General features: G+C 48.8%; 1 protein-coding gene and 1 non-coding gene across 4 annotated transcripts in view; both read right to left on the reverse strand.

Annotated features, from left to right (window-relative positions):
* SLIT3 (slit guidance ligand 3) overlaps positions 1-15,296 on the reverse strand; it is a 639,400-nt gene that overhangs the window by 102,325 nt on the left and 521,779 nt on the right. For all 3 annotated transcript variants that reach the window (NM_003062.4, NM_001271946.2, XM_017009779.1), the window contains exons 13-14: positions 10,171-10,314; positions 8,717-8,880 (exon numbers count right to left, since the gene is read on the reverse strand). In NM_003062.4, the coding sequence (NP_003053.2) occupies positions 8,717-8,880; positions 10,171-10,314 (308 nt within the window). The remainder of the gene's footprint in view (positions 1-8,716; positions 8,881-10,170; positions 10,315-15,296) is intronic.
* On the reverse strand, positions 4,082-4,191 carry MIR218-2 (microRNA 218-2). The gene has a single exon (NR_029632.1). It is a non-coding gene; the product is annotated as a microRNA 218-2 (primary transcript).

The following is a 15,296-nucleotide window of genomic DNA, read 5'->3' on the forward strand; positions in this document are numbered from 1 at the left end:
AAATGGGAATCAAATAACTGCCCTTATCTTCCAGGGGCTGTTGTGCAGATGAAAGTAACATTAAGGAGGTGGAGAGCCTCAGGAGTGGTATGCATGCTTGTGACTCTAGCAACTGCTTTTTTTCTACAACCTGGCAGAACATTTGGCAGCTCAGAGGCTGTGAAAATATGAATGTAGCTAGCAGTAACAGTGGCCATTTACTGAACATATACTGAGCCGGGCACTATTCTTTCCATTTCAAATGAATGATCTCATTTAATCCTTGCAACACTCTGAGGTTAGGATAACTCTATTTTATAGACGAGGAAACTGAGGCCCACAGGTCACTCAGTCTGCGCAGGCTGCTGTCTGGTTCCATGTGGTTAACATGTTTTGCTGCAGACTTGCTTCTCCCCAAAGGTTTTCCCAGGTCCCTGTAGGAATGATCATCTAGCCAGATTTGGTGCAGGTGGATTGAATGGGGTATTTTTCCATAGTGGGCTATGGTGGTGAAGGACGCAGATCTCTCCCACCCTCTTAGTTTTGCATGCCTTCTGTGATTTCCTTGTGGTAATTCCTGATCGAGAATGAACTTGGTGGGTCTCTAATTCTGATGTGACACTACCTACCTAAGACAGGGAGTCAGAAGCCTGGTCCTGTCCTCCTTTCCTTCTCTGCTCTCTCTCCATTTCCGCTCCTCCATCTCCCCTTCTACCGCTAGGCTTGTGTGAGCAAACTCCGTGCACGTATCCCCACAGTTATTCGAGTGGCTTCCTGGTTCATTGTATTATGCAAATCTCCTGCCCTTGGCTTGCCAGCTTCGTCCCTTTTGGTAACTCTGACCTGCACCATTTTCTTCCAGACCCATCAGCGTGCCGAGTCCTGGGCGAATTTCATTTTGCAAACCCTGTCAGATGACTACCTTCTCTTGTTCTCCGCACCAGTGGATCCACAGAGTGATGGCACGAAGGGGCATTGCACACACATACAGAGATTTTTCCTTCACAATGTGTCTATAATGGGATCCTTGCAAAGCGAAGGAACCCTGACTGCTGATCAAAGGCAGAAAGACAGGAGGAAGAACAGTTTGCTCTTCAAGGCGATGAGCCTGAAGGCGTGCACCGGCTGGGCTGTGGCTGGGGACAGCCGCCTATTAAATGCATTTTCATTTTAATCAAGGTGAGAGCAGCCTGTAGTTAGCAGGAATCGCTCTCAGTAGTATAGTTAGATTATAACTGGTGGACCTCTGCAATGGAGCCGCTGACCCATTTTAATGAAATGATTTTGCAATTAGATTCGATGGACTAATGTGTTCTTTCCAGCATTTTTCCCCCTGCTGTTTTTGTTATTGCCCTGGTTTGTAATAACAAGGGGGTCGGAATGTGATATTTTATACGAGTGGGAGCCAGAAATGTTAATAACGGCGTATGTACATAACCGAAAAAGTTCGTTCCCCAGTCAGAGCCAGCCCGAAATGCCATCTCCATCACTTCATATTTCATTACCGAAACTACTCAGGGTTTCTCAGAGCCATTTGTTATGCCTAATGCTCATAACTACCCCAAAGTATTTTTAACTTTTCCAGAGCTTTAAAAGTCAATTTCAATCTCAGTGCATATTTGTCACTGCCAGAAATACTTAGTAATAGAGGACCGACTGCAATAGGCTGTTGCTTCTTCTCTTTGGGGTGAGTTCAGACAGAAGAGATCCCAGAGGATTTGAAGAAGGGCCATAAAACTCAACCTCGGCTGAAACCAGCCTTGGAAGAGCTGATGTCATCTGGCATCTTGCCTGCTCCTGCCCCTGGAGCCCTCCTCCCCTTTCGCGGGCAGCTCAGAACAACGACACTTGGTACGTGATCACAGACAAGCTTTAATAGACGGGGGGGTGGGGGTAGGAGGTGGAAATTACAGCAACACAATTTTATTATACATCCCTGTCCTACAGCCACTTCCCAGGAGGAACACTTGTCACATTTGGATGACCAGGGGTGTGGGACAGGTAGGGAGCCAAGCTCCCATGTTTGAATGGACTTGGCTGGGTTGGGATCAGAGGCCAGCACCAGGTCCAGGATGGCTGCTGCCATCAACGGTATGCATTTTGTATCATCCTTTGGGCAGCCAGTTTGCTGACTGGGAGTCATAAATTCATTGTTATCTGATCATCATGGACTTGCTAACTCATGTTTCCAGAGCTCTCCTCCCCTATTCCCAATATCCCTAAGATGAGTGGAATAAAAGAAAGGAGGAAAGAAGCAGAAAGAGGAATTGGGGGGAGCGTAAGTCCTGTCAGGCCTCATCAGCTTGAAAAGACAGTGATGTGAATAAGCAAAGGGTCATAAGTGATGAATGACTAAGGAGAACACTGCCAGGCACACAGACATCCACTCATGGGCAAGGCTGGGGGACCAGCTGCCAGTGGCTGGAAGATGCCAACTGTTTTACTAGGAGTTTGGTCACCAGTTGGGCAGGGAGCCGTCCTAGTAAGCTATCCCCTTTGGAGTCTATTATGAGTGCAGCCATCTGCCTGAAAACAGAGGGAAATACCCATGGTCTGAGGCTGGCACTGCCTCATCACAGCCTGTGGCTGCGGGGCCAGTAAAGCACTGATGGAAGGGCACCATTATGGACCCACTCCCAGAGGCCTGGTCCCTGCCATGTTAGGGGCAGTGCCGAGGGCCTCAGAATGCCCCTCTCTGTAAGGTGGGAAAGGGAACTTCTCCAGGCTCGAGGATTTGCTCTGTGTTAAATGGGATCTTTGTATGTCCATGCTGGAGAGGAACAGCCATTTGAATAATGCTTTCTCTCTTACTCAAGTTCTTTCTACTAACAGATGAAAGTCTGAAAGGGAGAGTTTAAGCAAATTTCAAGTCCCTATCAAATCACAGTTTTTAAATGTTCTAATTCAAGGCAATGGGGTTGTCCACAGCTGGGAAGGTGGGTATTACAGCAGTACAGTGCAGCCATTCTGGAATCAGATGACCCTGGGTAAGTTAGCTAACCTCTCTGAGCCTCAATATCCTCATCTGTAAAGTGGGACTTTAGATTTTGTGAACATTAAACAAGGTAATGATGTGAAAACAGTTCACTGCCTGGCCTATAGCAAGCACTCAATGTATGTTAAAAAACTACTAAGCAATGGTTGGGCTCCTGGTTCTGAGGGGTAACCTCAGATAGACGAGGTAATAAGAGTCACACCTCATGATGGGGGCCCAGGGCTCAGCTTCTAGTTCTGAGCTAGGCTAAAGTTCCCACCTTAGCTCTCTCTTGCAGAATAGGACAAAGACTCCAGGACAGGAATGAACAACACAGTCTTCTGGTTACACTGGGTCTAGGATTTATCAAGGAACAAGCAAAATAAGAGGTACCAAGATCCCTCTCTTTATTATCAGAGATAGCAGGTTTCCACGTCCACACACACTCCCCTCCCCTGAAACAGAATTAGCACCAGGTGAGGAGCCCAGCACCTCCACGTTAACTGTGCTTTGCAGGTCAAGGAAACAGACTGGACTTTAGGTTTCATGGGGTTCAGGGACTGTGTTTTCATAAAGTATGGGAATGAGGTTCAGAAGGAACCTTGGGTTAAACCCAAAGTCTCAGACTCACATGAGTTTCACCCATTCTCATGCTGACGTTCATTTCAAATAAAGTGAATACCAATAAAGGTGGTGGTGGGAGGGGTCGGGGGTCACAAGCAGTAGGAATTCCCCTTTGGGTTAGCTGCCACTTGGAAAAATGACCTTGGGTTGGGACTCTCCCATGAAACCATGGGGCGTATGCCTTGGGTATACTTGTTCCCTTCCAGTGGAAGAAGAGACACAGTAGTTTCTGAGCTTGAACCTAGTTATTACTCCTTGTCTGACATCCAGACTAGATTTGGGGGAGGGTGACTCCATTTTGGGAAAGAGATGTGGATACAGATCTCTTTCCCCAGGGTGCTTCTCCAGACCCATTTCCCTCTGTATCTGCATCCTTTGAGACTCCTACCCTCCTGCCTTTGGTGAGTTGAGACTGGGAGAGGTGGGTCTGGCAGGTGGTGGGCTGCGGTGCTCCAGAGCAGAGGAGAGGTGTCCAGCGGTGGTGGCGGCGGTGGCGGGCCATGCTGCAGGAGAGCACGGTGCTTTCCGCGGTGCTTGACAGAACCATGTTCCGTTTCCATCGTTCCACCACATGGTTAGATCAAGCACAAAGGAAAGCCCCGCAGCGACTGGTCAGAGTCAAGGTCAGGAAGCAGCGTCAGAGAGAGGACAGGAGCGCTCAGAGGAAGCAGCGTGGAGAAGCGGAAGCCGGAGCAGGCCCCCACTGAGCGTGATTAGTATCAGGAGTGGGGTTCCACTGGAACACTTCCGAAGATTGCAGCCCTGCTGCCCTTGTGCCCCACCCCAGGGAGACACAGTAGGAAGGGAGAAGAACGGGAGGGAAATCACTGGATGCCCATACTCGGGAGCTTCAGGACAGCATGGTTCCTTCCCAAGGAAAGAAAGAACACTCAGACATCTGTGATCCTATCACATGCCTGAATTGAGCCTCTAAACTCCATTCAGTCACACCAGTTGGTCTGACAAGACATTAAACTTAGAAAAGCATCTTCTGCATGCTTTGCAACATAGGCCCAATCCCCCCAACAGCTGAGTGGTTCCATCACAGTCATTCCTCTAGCCCCTTAAGTCAAGAGACAATCCACAGTTCCCAGTGGTCTAGCAAACCTTCAATGCTGTTCTTTAGGAAAAAGCCCCCTTTGACATTCCACAATTCAGGAGTCTCCTTTATATCCTTTGAGGTCAGCAGGAATGCTCTGGCTGATAGACACTCATCCCAGATCATTTGAGGTTTAATAGAGGAGCAGTGGGGTGTCAAAAGAAAATATATCTCTCTAGCCAGAGAGAAAGACAGGAAAACAAATGGGGCCGTAGGGTTTGGACTGAGGAACCTGCAATCATAGTTGTTGTTTGAGAACACTGACTTTCACAGAGATGGTGGCCAGTGCGCCTCCTGATGAAGGGCCTCTTTGAGACTAAGAGAAGGAAGGAAAGGGAAGCCAAGTGATGAGTCTGAGGGGAAGACACTGAATTCTGGGGTCCTTCTTGATTTCTTGTTCTCTTCCTTAGCTGGAAATTATGGGAGCGAACAGGATGAACCAATAACCACTGTCAGGATGCCAAAGGCCCAGGTGAGGGTACCCAGTTTTTATATTCCTCTCTGTGATAGATCAGGGTCAGTTTCCATGAACCTGCTGACTTGGGACTTCCTCCCACTTGGCATTAGGCTGGAGATGTGCATCTTGAAGAAACTGGAGCTAAGGCTAAGTGACTGAGACCCTCCCTGCCTGACCTCTGACATGAGAACCAGTATCAACATTCTTCCACTATGTGTTTTTGGGACTGGGCATATCCTCTAGATGGTCTCAGCATCTCAACGGTGCATAGGTTGTCTGCCATGTTGGACCAGTTAGGAAGAGCCAGCCCACAGCTCTGGGTCTGTCTGGCCTCTCCTCCTTCCTAAGGTCTCTCATCACACGCACTAGAGTCAGCCACTAGAATCTGGACTCCACTCTGCTTTGACACCTATGCAGGGCTCTGTGAACACTGTGGTTCTGGGACTTCAAATGTGAGTTTGATTAGGACCCTGGTACAAGAGCAGGGGAAATCCATCCTGTTCGTGCAAACCGCCACCCTCACCAAGCCTTAAAATCTAATTTTCTTTCTCTTTGGTTTCTTCCTACAAAAAGAAATGGAGGGATTTGTAGGTAAATTATCAAGAGTCTTCACAGTATGTCAGAAGTCCTGGGTTTCAGATCTTGCCCTAAAAATAATACTCAATACCTTAGATAAGATTTTTCTGCTGTGTGGACCTCAATTTATCCATCTCTAGAATAAACTGGATGACCTCTAAGGTTTCTAAAAGTTCTGTAATTCCTTGAGAGCTATCTTGCTGTTCGCCGTCTTTGGACACTTTGCGTCACCACCCTCTGTACTTTTCAGCAAGAGAGTTTCTTCTCACACAAAGCGGGGAGGCATGAAGGAAGACAGACAGCACCCTGCAACTGCCAAGTGCTCCCAGGGATGGGCTTGGGGTCCCAGGCAGCCAGACGGAGCCTTTTCAGGAGGACTTAATCTGATGGTCAGATTACCCCAGCCGGCAGCATCCAACCCTAAACTGATCTTGCTGCCCAAGGCGGCGGATGCAGCTGATAGAGAGAGGCAGACACAGGCAGCTGGGAAACCAGACGCCCTGCCTAAGGAGGGGCAGGATGTGTTACGGAGCAGCCCTCAAATTGCCTCCTAATTACATCAGCTGTCTTTTCAATGGGGGTGCTTTTAGGAAAAAGTAAAACGCAGAGTTATTATCTGTCACATCCAGTCTGTGTCACCTGCCCCCCTTCTTTCTTCTGGAGCTTCCTGGAAACACAGAGCTTTACATCTATGGTTTTTCTTTCCCTCCAAGGCCAAGGCAGGTCTGGAACCCCATGTTTCTCAAAGCCAAGGCCTTTGGAGCTCAGCAGTCATGCTTTCTTTGCAATGACATAAAATAAAAGCAAATAGAGTGCTACGTGTCAGTCTCATGCTAGCTCCAAACATCTCTACTTTTTAGGAATAATCTTTCGCTTAGCATTGTTTTTTTTTTTAAAAAAGGTATCTTAGAGTCAATCCAAGAACCTGGCTCCTTCTCCCTGTTTCTTTTTTAAAATGTTCAGCTTCCCCTCCCCCACATAGGAAAAGCAGCCAGGATCCTGCAGATCTACAGGTAGGACGATAGTGGCAGAGCTAGAGTTAGAACTAAGCTCTACTGCTTCCTAGGTCCACTTTCCATTTTCCTTTTCTCCTACTTAGTTCTTTCTATAGCCCCACCCCCACCTTGCCACCCCCAACCACAGTCATGCCCAGAAAATTGCCAAGACTGTGTTCCTGGGGAGATACCAGTCCTTGGATCCTGCACTCTTTCCCTGCTGTGCCACGCAGGGCCGCCACATCCATTTGGGGTCCAAAGTACTAACAGGATACTTATGAGACCAAAGGGTCAAGGTTGGCAGATAATACCCTGCCCTCCTCTGGCTCTCACTGTCCTTCTTTTTGGGTACCACTGTTTGGCAGAGCTAATTAACTCAGCCCTGGCCAGACAGGGGTAGGAATAGAGGCCAAGGTTGGCGTGAGTCATGAGGAAAGGTGCTGGGGATAGGACGATTGTGCTTTGGGTGAGATTTTCTTTCCAGAGATGTTGCCAGGCCCAGGAAGGAACCTGAGGACAGTGTTCAGGGAGCGGGTAGGGGTGGGAGCATGAGACCAGGGAAGGAGGTCATCCAAGCAGCTGATTGTCATCCCCAAATATTCCTTCTCTCCCAGATGCTGTGTGGTGTGAGGACCAAAATGAACCTGAGGTTTAGTCCTGCCTCCGCTGTTTGCTGGCTTGTGAACTTGGAGTGCCCCTTCACCTCTAAGTCCTCAGTTCCCTCTCCTATAGAGCAAAGGGCTCTCCTACTGACTTCCCAGGACCATTGGAAGAAGCAAATCAGACTAGAAGCCTCCAGTACCACGCTCATCGCAGGTGAAAGATGGCTGTTGTAACTGACATCATTATTCTAGGGAAGGGAAGTCGGTACCAACTTTTCACAGTGCCACAAAGTCTCTGTATTATCTCCAAGCCCTCCCAAGGTATTAGTTTCTGTTAAAAAAATTTAAAGAGCTAAAGCTTATCATTCTGGAGACATGGACTAAAGAATTTGACTTAAAGGACAAGAAGATGTTGTAAGAAGCACAAGTCTGCCTGGGAGTAACCTCTCCCCACGCTGGCATTCTCCCCGGGAAGACTCGCCTGCATCAGAAGCTCCTGGGCAAGGGGAGAAGCACTGCTCTTGCTGCTGCACACACCGTGAGGGTTGGCTGCAACCCGCCTGGGCACTTCATGCTATCAGTCTTTCACCATTGGGGGCACAATGCAGTTTGGTGATTTTTTTTCCAGTAGAAAAGAACACAAATGATAGTAATTTTTAACTGCCTGTTCATGTAGCTGTCGGGTCAAGGAGAGCTACTTCTCTTTCCAAGATAGGCTGAGAATTCCCCTGCTGTTTTCCCCCATGTCCTTCCTGGGTGCAGTGAGAAGGAAGCTTTCTAGAGAGATCCTGGGCACAGAAGAACGAGGCTTTGTTTCTTCCCAAGCACGACTCTTTACTGTTCTCTCCGTACTCAGAACACAGTAATCAGGGATGGAGGAGCTAAGCTAGTGAAAGTGTTTTTCGTGAACATGTGGAACCTATAACATACTGTGGTCAAAGGGCTGTACCATGGTCTGTCTCCGAAGGGAGTGGGAGGTCCCCAAGATTACACACCGTCTGTAGCCTCGCCTGAGCTATATGTATTTCTCTACTTGCCCTTTGGGGAGCACACTTTGGAAACGAAAAATATAAATCTTAGCCTGTAACAGGCACATGTGCAAAGGCCGCCCCAGCCCCACCTTCTCCTTAGCTCTTGGAGACACGCTGCTGCCTGGGTCCTGTCTCCCCTGCAACCGTCTCCTCCTCCCCATGCTTTTATTGTGTGTGTGTGTGTGTGTGTGTGTTTTATTTTAAATCCATAAGGTAACTGGTTTTCTGCAGGGCTAACTGAATTTCCCCAATTTAATTTGCAAAGATGCTCCCCAGGAGCCATTACAGTGCTCGCTGTCCTCCAGATTGGATTATTGGCCTCTCTGGGGCTGCTGCATTCTGAGTCAGAAAGCGGGGCCCAGCCCCGTAACCTGATTACCTGAGCAGCGGAACTTCTTGCTCTTGATCTGGCTGATGCGCTTGTTGGCGAGTCGGCGCGGGCTGCTGCAGCGGGCCCCGCTTGTCTCGATGGGGTTGTCCTGGAGGTAGTCGGCCAGCCACTTCAAGTGGCAGTCGCACACAAATGGGTTTTGGGCTAAGTGGCTGCGAGAGGGATGGGGCCGTTAATCAGGAGTGACCCACGGCGTCTTGCTCCACCACCACCACCCTGCCTCGCGCTGGGCCCTGGCAATCCACTGCAAGGACTGGCCTCCTGCCTCATCGCCCCAGGAAGCCTTAGGGGGTGCTACTTTCAGACAGGGCTCAAAGAGGGGGTCTGAGGCCTGCTGTCTGCAAAAGACAGTCACAGATGCAGCTAGCATCTGGTCTGGGGAATCGGTCTCCCAGCTCTTCCCACTTGGGGCAAGACCCACCACCGATTGCTTCTACTCTCACCCACGCCAATTCTGACAGACAAACCCAGTCATGGTTTGCACTTGGGGTAGAATGCATTTTATTTCTCTAAGCTCAGTGACACTAGGCACATAAAGCAGCTGGCACGGCGCCTGGCATATGGTGGGTGTTCCATATATAGTAGCGGGTATTGTTGTAATTATCCTTATCATCATAAGAGCACCATGGGTCTTGCTTCCCCTGCCTCAGTAAGAAAAACTGTGAAGCACCGAACACAGTGTTTGGCACGTGGTCGGCGTCAATATATAGCAGCTGCTCCTACTGTGTCTTGGTTCCTGTCTCTGGCTACAGAGGCAACAAGCACCAGATGACTTACAGGGTCTCCAGAAGCCCCGAGGCTAATTGCAGACCTGGGCATGGGGCTGAGGTCTATGCCTGAGACTGGAGCCATCAAAAAATGGGCTGAAATCTGTACTTGGAGGTCATCTATTTAAGTGAAATATTTATGAATACCTGTAGTGCATGGAAGTGAGGATATACTTCCCATAGAGGAAGAGTGCCCACCTCAGATGCTTGGTTTTGCAGGGTGGAGGGGGTTAAGCGGGGGCAGGAGTGGGCTATCTGCAGAAATGGAGTCTGCTCAGAATACAGTGACCACAGGGGTTATGAGGGTAGCTCAGGACCTCCTCTGCCTGGATTCAAAACCTGCTCCTTACTAGCTGTGTGACCCTGAGGAAGTTACCTAACCATTCTATGCCTTGGTTTCCTTATGTAGAAAGAAGAGATAGTAACAGCACCAAGTAGGGTCACTGTGAGGCTTAAGGGTTTTAAGACAGGGTAAGTACTCCATGTGGTGTCAAGCACAGTGTAAGTGCTTGGTACTGATAAGCTATTCCGATTTTTATTATTCTAGCTTCCCTGCAGGCTCTAGAACTCCTCCTGGATGTGCTCGTGCTGCCCTCATTTGGGTGTTTTTCATGATGGGCATTTGGGGTCTCCTGCTGCTTGGGCACCCACTGGCACCCGAGGCAGTGTACTCACAGTGTCTGGATGGACTGCAGAGGGGCGAAGAGCCCCTTGCTGATGGTCTGCAGCTTGTTGTCATACAGGGAGAGCAAGTTGAGGTTCTGCAGGTCCTGAAACGTGTTCACCCGCAGGCAGTTGATCTTGTTGGCATTGAGGAGGCTGCAAACAGAAGAGAGCCTGGTTGATTCACTAATCCTGGTAATTACCTGCGGGGCAAGGGTTGCACCTGCAGGGGATGGGCTGCAAAGCTCCCATCACTCATCCTTGCAGCCTTGAGCTCCTGCTGCAGAACAGAAAAAGAGAGAGACCTGCCTTCCTGTGTCTACCGAAACCCCAAACACTTCTGGGCACCTGCACACACTGTCACTACAGACACTATGCCATACACTGCTCTCACTTGGCACCTTCTCTTGCACCCATGGCCTTGAAGGAAGACCTGAAAAGGCACCCTAAGTGCTTCACTTTCTGTTTTAGGATTCAGAGCTTCCAGGAATTGGAAAGGAAAAAAAATCATTTGGCATAATTGTTTTAGAGCTTTAGTTGACTGACTACGGGCAATTTGATTCAGAAAATTCCTTACAGTTCTTTTGGATCACTGATCCTACTGGAAATCTGATGAAAGTTATATGTCATCCTCCTGGAAAAACTGCATCTATGTGTAGGCAGGCACATGTGCATACATATGGATTCTCTGTCATACACACATGTGCACACCCACAGAGAGCACAGAGCCCCATGTGGTTTGACCTTGGCCCTTTCGCCAACCTCATCCTAACCCCACTCACCCCAAACTCACTACCCTTGAGTCCCACCACTGCATTTTTTTTTTTTTTTTGAGATGGAGTCTTGCTCTTGTCGCCCAGGCTGGAGTTCAATGGCGTGATCTCGGCTCACTGCAACCTCCGCCTCTTGGGTTCAAGCAATTCTCCTGGCTCAGGCTCCTGAGGAGCTGGGATTACAGGTGTGCACCACCACGCCCAGCTAATTTTTGTATTTTTAGTAGAGACGGGGTTTCACCATGTTGGCCAGGCTGGTCTCGAACTCCTGACCCCAGGTGACCTGCCTGCCTTGGCCTCCAAAGTGCTGGGATTACAGGTGTGAGCCACCACGCCCGGCCTACCACTGCATTTTCATTCCTCAGACACACCAGATTTTTCCCTAGGACCTTTGAACACCCTCTTTACCTTCTTTCAGCAGGGCTGCCTTCTTTTCCTGCTTTCCACTGTAGCTCAAATGTCCGCTCCTCAGAGAGGCCGGCCCTGACCCCCTCATCTACAATGGGACCCTCACTCCATTATCGTCTCTCACACCCCCGTTTATTTCCCTCCTGGCACTCATCGCAATTTGTGATTATAGGATATCTACCATTGGCCTTCCACACAGGATTAGGAGCTCTATAATGGCACCAATGACAGCCATTTTATTCCTCCCTTTCTTCTCAGTGCTTATTCTTTATTAAGATGTATAATAACTCCATATGCAGCTTCAAGGGTCTCACTTCTCTAAGGCGGCACCCATCCCTCACCCCTTCCAGGGTCAGCCTTCCTATCCATGAGGAAGCTGTTTTTAGCTCTTCAGACTCCCTAAAAAATCATCATAGGAAGCTACCCTTTGGGTGGAAGTCTGGGAAAGCAGAGGATGCCACGAGGGTGACAGGCAGTTTTCCAGAGCAGGGCTGGCAAGTCAAGCACATTGAGATCCTAAGAATTACCTTTACTGATCCTAGACTGACTAGACATGCCTTGTAGTCAATGTAAAATCATTTCTTATCCCCTCTCGAATGAAACTGGGGGAAGGGGAAAATAAACTAACCAGCAGAAATGTTGCATTTCAAGAATTTTACTTTCGAGGCTGGTTCAGCCCCTCCCTGGTGGGGAATGACACATGAGATGGATGCCGGGCTGGCCTGCCTCAGGAGTCTCTCCATACCAGGATCCAGGGGGTCTGCAGTTGGCAACGGTGGGGCTGCCCATGGTGCTAAATCATCCATGCCACCTCTCCCTTAGCTGCGGGCCTCATACTCCCCACGGTCCCGGTGCACCCCGCGTGCAGGCAAGCAGCTGTGGCAGTGACAAGTGGAAGAAGAACGGCCTGTTTAATCTGTCTAATAATGGGCAAGGTCCCAAGGGTTCACACAGATGTCCTCCTGCCTGGCAGTGGAAAAAAAATGCTCATACTGCTAGAATACTGTGTTTTCCAAAGTGCTTTCCCAACGTCCCATTATTCTCACAGGAACCTGGGCAGATGGACAGAACCTGACTCACAAGTGATAGGGGAGGAAACTGAGGCTGAGAGTTTGGCAGGTGTTTTCAAGGTCACACATGTTTCTAGGGAGCATGCTGGAAGCGGTTATGATAATTGAGGTCTCTAGAGGGCTCAGTTTCTTCTTTACGAATGTCTTGTCTACCCATCCTATCGGTCTATACTCTTTGCAACATCCCTCCCCCCTGCAAATTCCGATGCTTTGTGTATTAAATTTTAGTCAGTGTCACTGCATTTTGGGGGCATTTGAAGGAAATGTGATAGAGCAGAGAAACAGGGAGAAAAGCTGGAGGACTCAACGGGGTCCAGCAACCAGGGCTCAGGAATGGACCCTTCACACACACAGTGTTTTGATTTTTTTTAAAGTACACACATGGTGAGTGTTTTGTTCTAAACCTTGACATTCAGGGCCTTCTGAGTACATCATCTTGTCAAGAAACACTGAACTATTCAGTACACAACAGGTCAGAGGTGCCCATTTGATAGCCTGAGGATGGAATCCTTATTGCAGCATTTTGCGTCATGCCACATATATGTGTTTTTTCAATCCTCCTCTGTTTTAAAAATTGGAAAATTTCATACAACACACACACACACACACACACACACACACACACACACACACCCCCCATACCACACCACACCACATCAAATTTCTATTTTCTCTTGAAAAACAAAATTCAGGAGCTCAGGCAACCCTAGGTTCCCTGGAGGCAGCCATGGAGTAGCTGCCCCCTTTAGATAGGACATATGCTCTCTATTTGCCACAGTCCTCACTATTCCCTATTGTGTCCCCTTCACTAGTTTACTTGACCTTCCTTGCCTTAGTGGTCATTTAGGTTTGAAACCCCAGTGCAGATTCATAAGCCCAATTGTAGCAATTGGTTCTAGCGCATATTAGGCACTAGACAAGGACGATGGCCATGGGGAGAAAGAAATGGCAACTTGACTTGCCTTCATAAAAACTAAATGCCACGCTGGCAATCCTTCTCACTCATCAGGTCTATTGAGGCTCTTTTTTTCTCATCCAGATGCTCCTTTGTTTCCTATTGCTCCTAGATCTCTCAGCATGGGATGTTACTTCAAATATGTAAGGCATCAAAACAACCCAGGCTGGCAGAATTACTAGGCAAAGATAGCCCAAGGTGCAGAGCTCATGAAGCATGGAGCAAAAGAAAACACAAAAGGGCAGAGTCTCCTGGTCACTCATTCTCTCCCAGGATGCTTGGCTCCCTCAGGCGAGGTGTGTAGGTGCAGGGAGAGATAAAATTAAGCTGCTTATCCAGAATTAGATGCTGAGGACAGCCTCACTGGTCCCCAGCATCAGCAAGATCTAACAGCCTGTCCCTGTGCCCTCTTTCCTTTGGGAGGAAGGCTGGCAGCTAGTCAACTCAGCCTGGCTTCCATGAAAGGAGCTCTTAGCTATCTGGTACATGGACAAGAGTTGGAGGGGAATTTTAAAAGCACCATATTATGGAGCAAATAGAGAGTAAACAAACATTTGAAATGAGGTTTAGCAGTTCTATAAGGAATCCTGAACACAGGCCTCCCTCTTTCACCGGAGGGATGGATTCCCCCTTTTTGCAGCAGAGATTCCAGGATGCTTGCTCCGTCCTGGTTCATCCCTGTTTGAGGAGCATTGGTGTAACTGCTGTGTGAAATGATAATAATGCAGCATCCTCTCTACAGACTACATCTCTGTGTGCTTTTCCCACGCACTTTCCAGGCACTATCTTATGTAACCCCCACAACAGCACTATGATTATCTTCATTTTTCTGATAAGAAAACAGGTTCAGAGTGGTGACGGACTCAACCAAGGTCCCCCAGCAATAAGCGAAGCTCCAGCCTGTTTCACTCCAAAGCCATCTCTTATCTACTATTTAAAGTCTATATTCTCTTTTCCATTTTCCCTATGTGTGAGGAGTGGCTATTTTTGCTAGCCTTCACTGTACCTGGGTATGCTTCAGATGGACAAAGGTCTGGTTGGGTTTGGAAGACCCTGCTTGCCTCCTGGGAGTGCAGAGGCATCAGAAGTCCTCCTGACTCCCAGGAAGGAGCTTCAGCGTGTGATGCTGATCAAGCCTTCGTTGGCACGAGGTGGCAGGTTCTTTACTGAGTGGCTTGCATCTGTACGAGGCAAGGCTTCCCCCTTCAGGATCACTGACCGAATGCCGACGTGGGAGCTGATATGCCTGGCTCTGTGATCCCCTTACTCTGAGCAGGCCAGGGACAACCGTAGGACAGAGATAACAGCAATAGCACACAAGGTGGGATGTCCCAGCTGGCCTCATTCAAGAGGCTGCCTGGCGCTCAAACTGACAACTGTGACATCCCAGCCAAAGATCTCACTTCAGCCCAATCTGCTGTTGGATCCAGTGAGTCAGGCTGGACTGCCTGGTGAATACTGTATTCATCGGTATTTCCCCAGATGCAGATCCAGTGATCTTTTGGGGCCACCTGCTCCAGATCTATCTCTCAAAGGACCCTCGGAGATCATATAAATGAAAAGAGAGGGAAGGCTGAGATGATCCGACCAGGTGAACCACAGCCACCAGGTGAACAGCAGGGGCCACATGGCCTAACAGGTAATGCATATTACACACTTCACAAGGCCAGGTACTCCCATTTAATCTCCCTTTGACAGGTGACCCTTCTGGGGCTCATAGAGCTTAAATAACTTTGACCAAAGTTCCACAACCCGTAAGAGGTAGGATAGTATTTGGACTCACGACATCATAGCCCAAAGATTTTGTTTCCAATCGTCATGCTGCTGTGAGAGCCAGTCCCCTCTCACTAAGAGCCTAAGGGAGCCACCTGAGGCTGATGGGAGGCGGTGGAGGTACCCTGTTTGTAGCCACTCCATCAACGCAGCGGGTGA

The sequence above is a fragment of the Homo sapiens genome, chromosome 5 (genome assembly GCF_000001405.40).
Source record: "Homo sapiens chromosome 5, GRCh38.p14 Primary Assembly".
NCBI classification, from domain to species: Eukaryota; Metazoa; Chordata; class Mammalia; order Primates; family Hominidae; genus Homo; species Homo sapiens.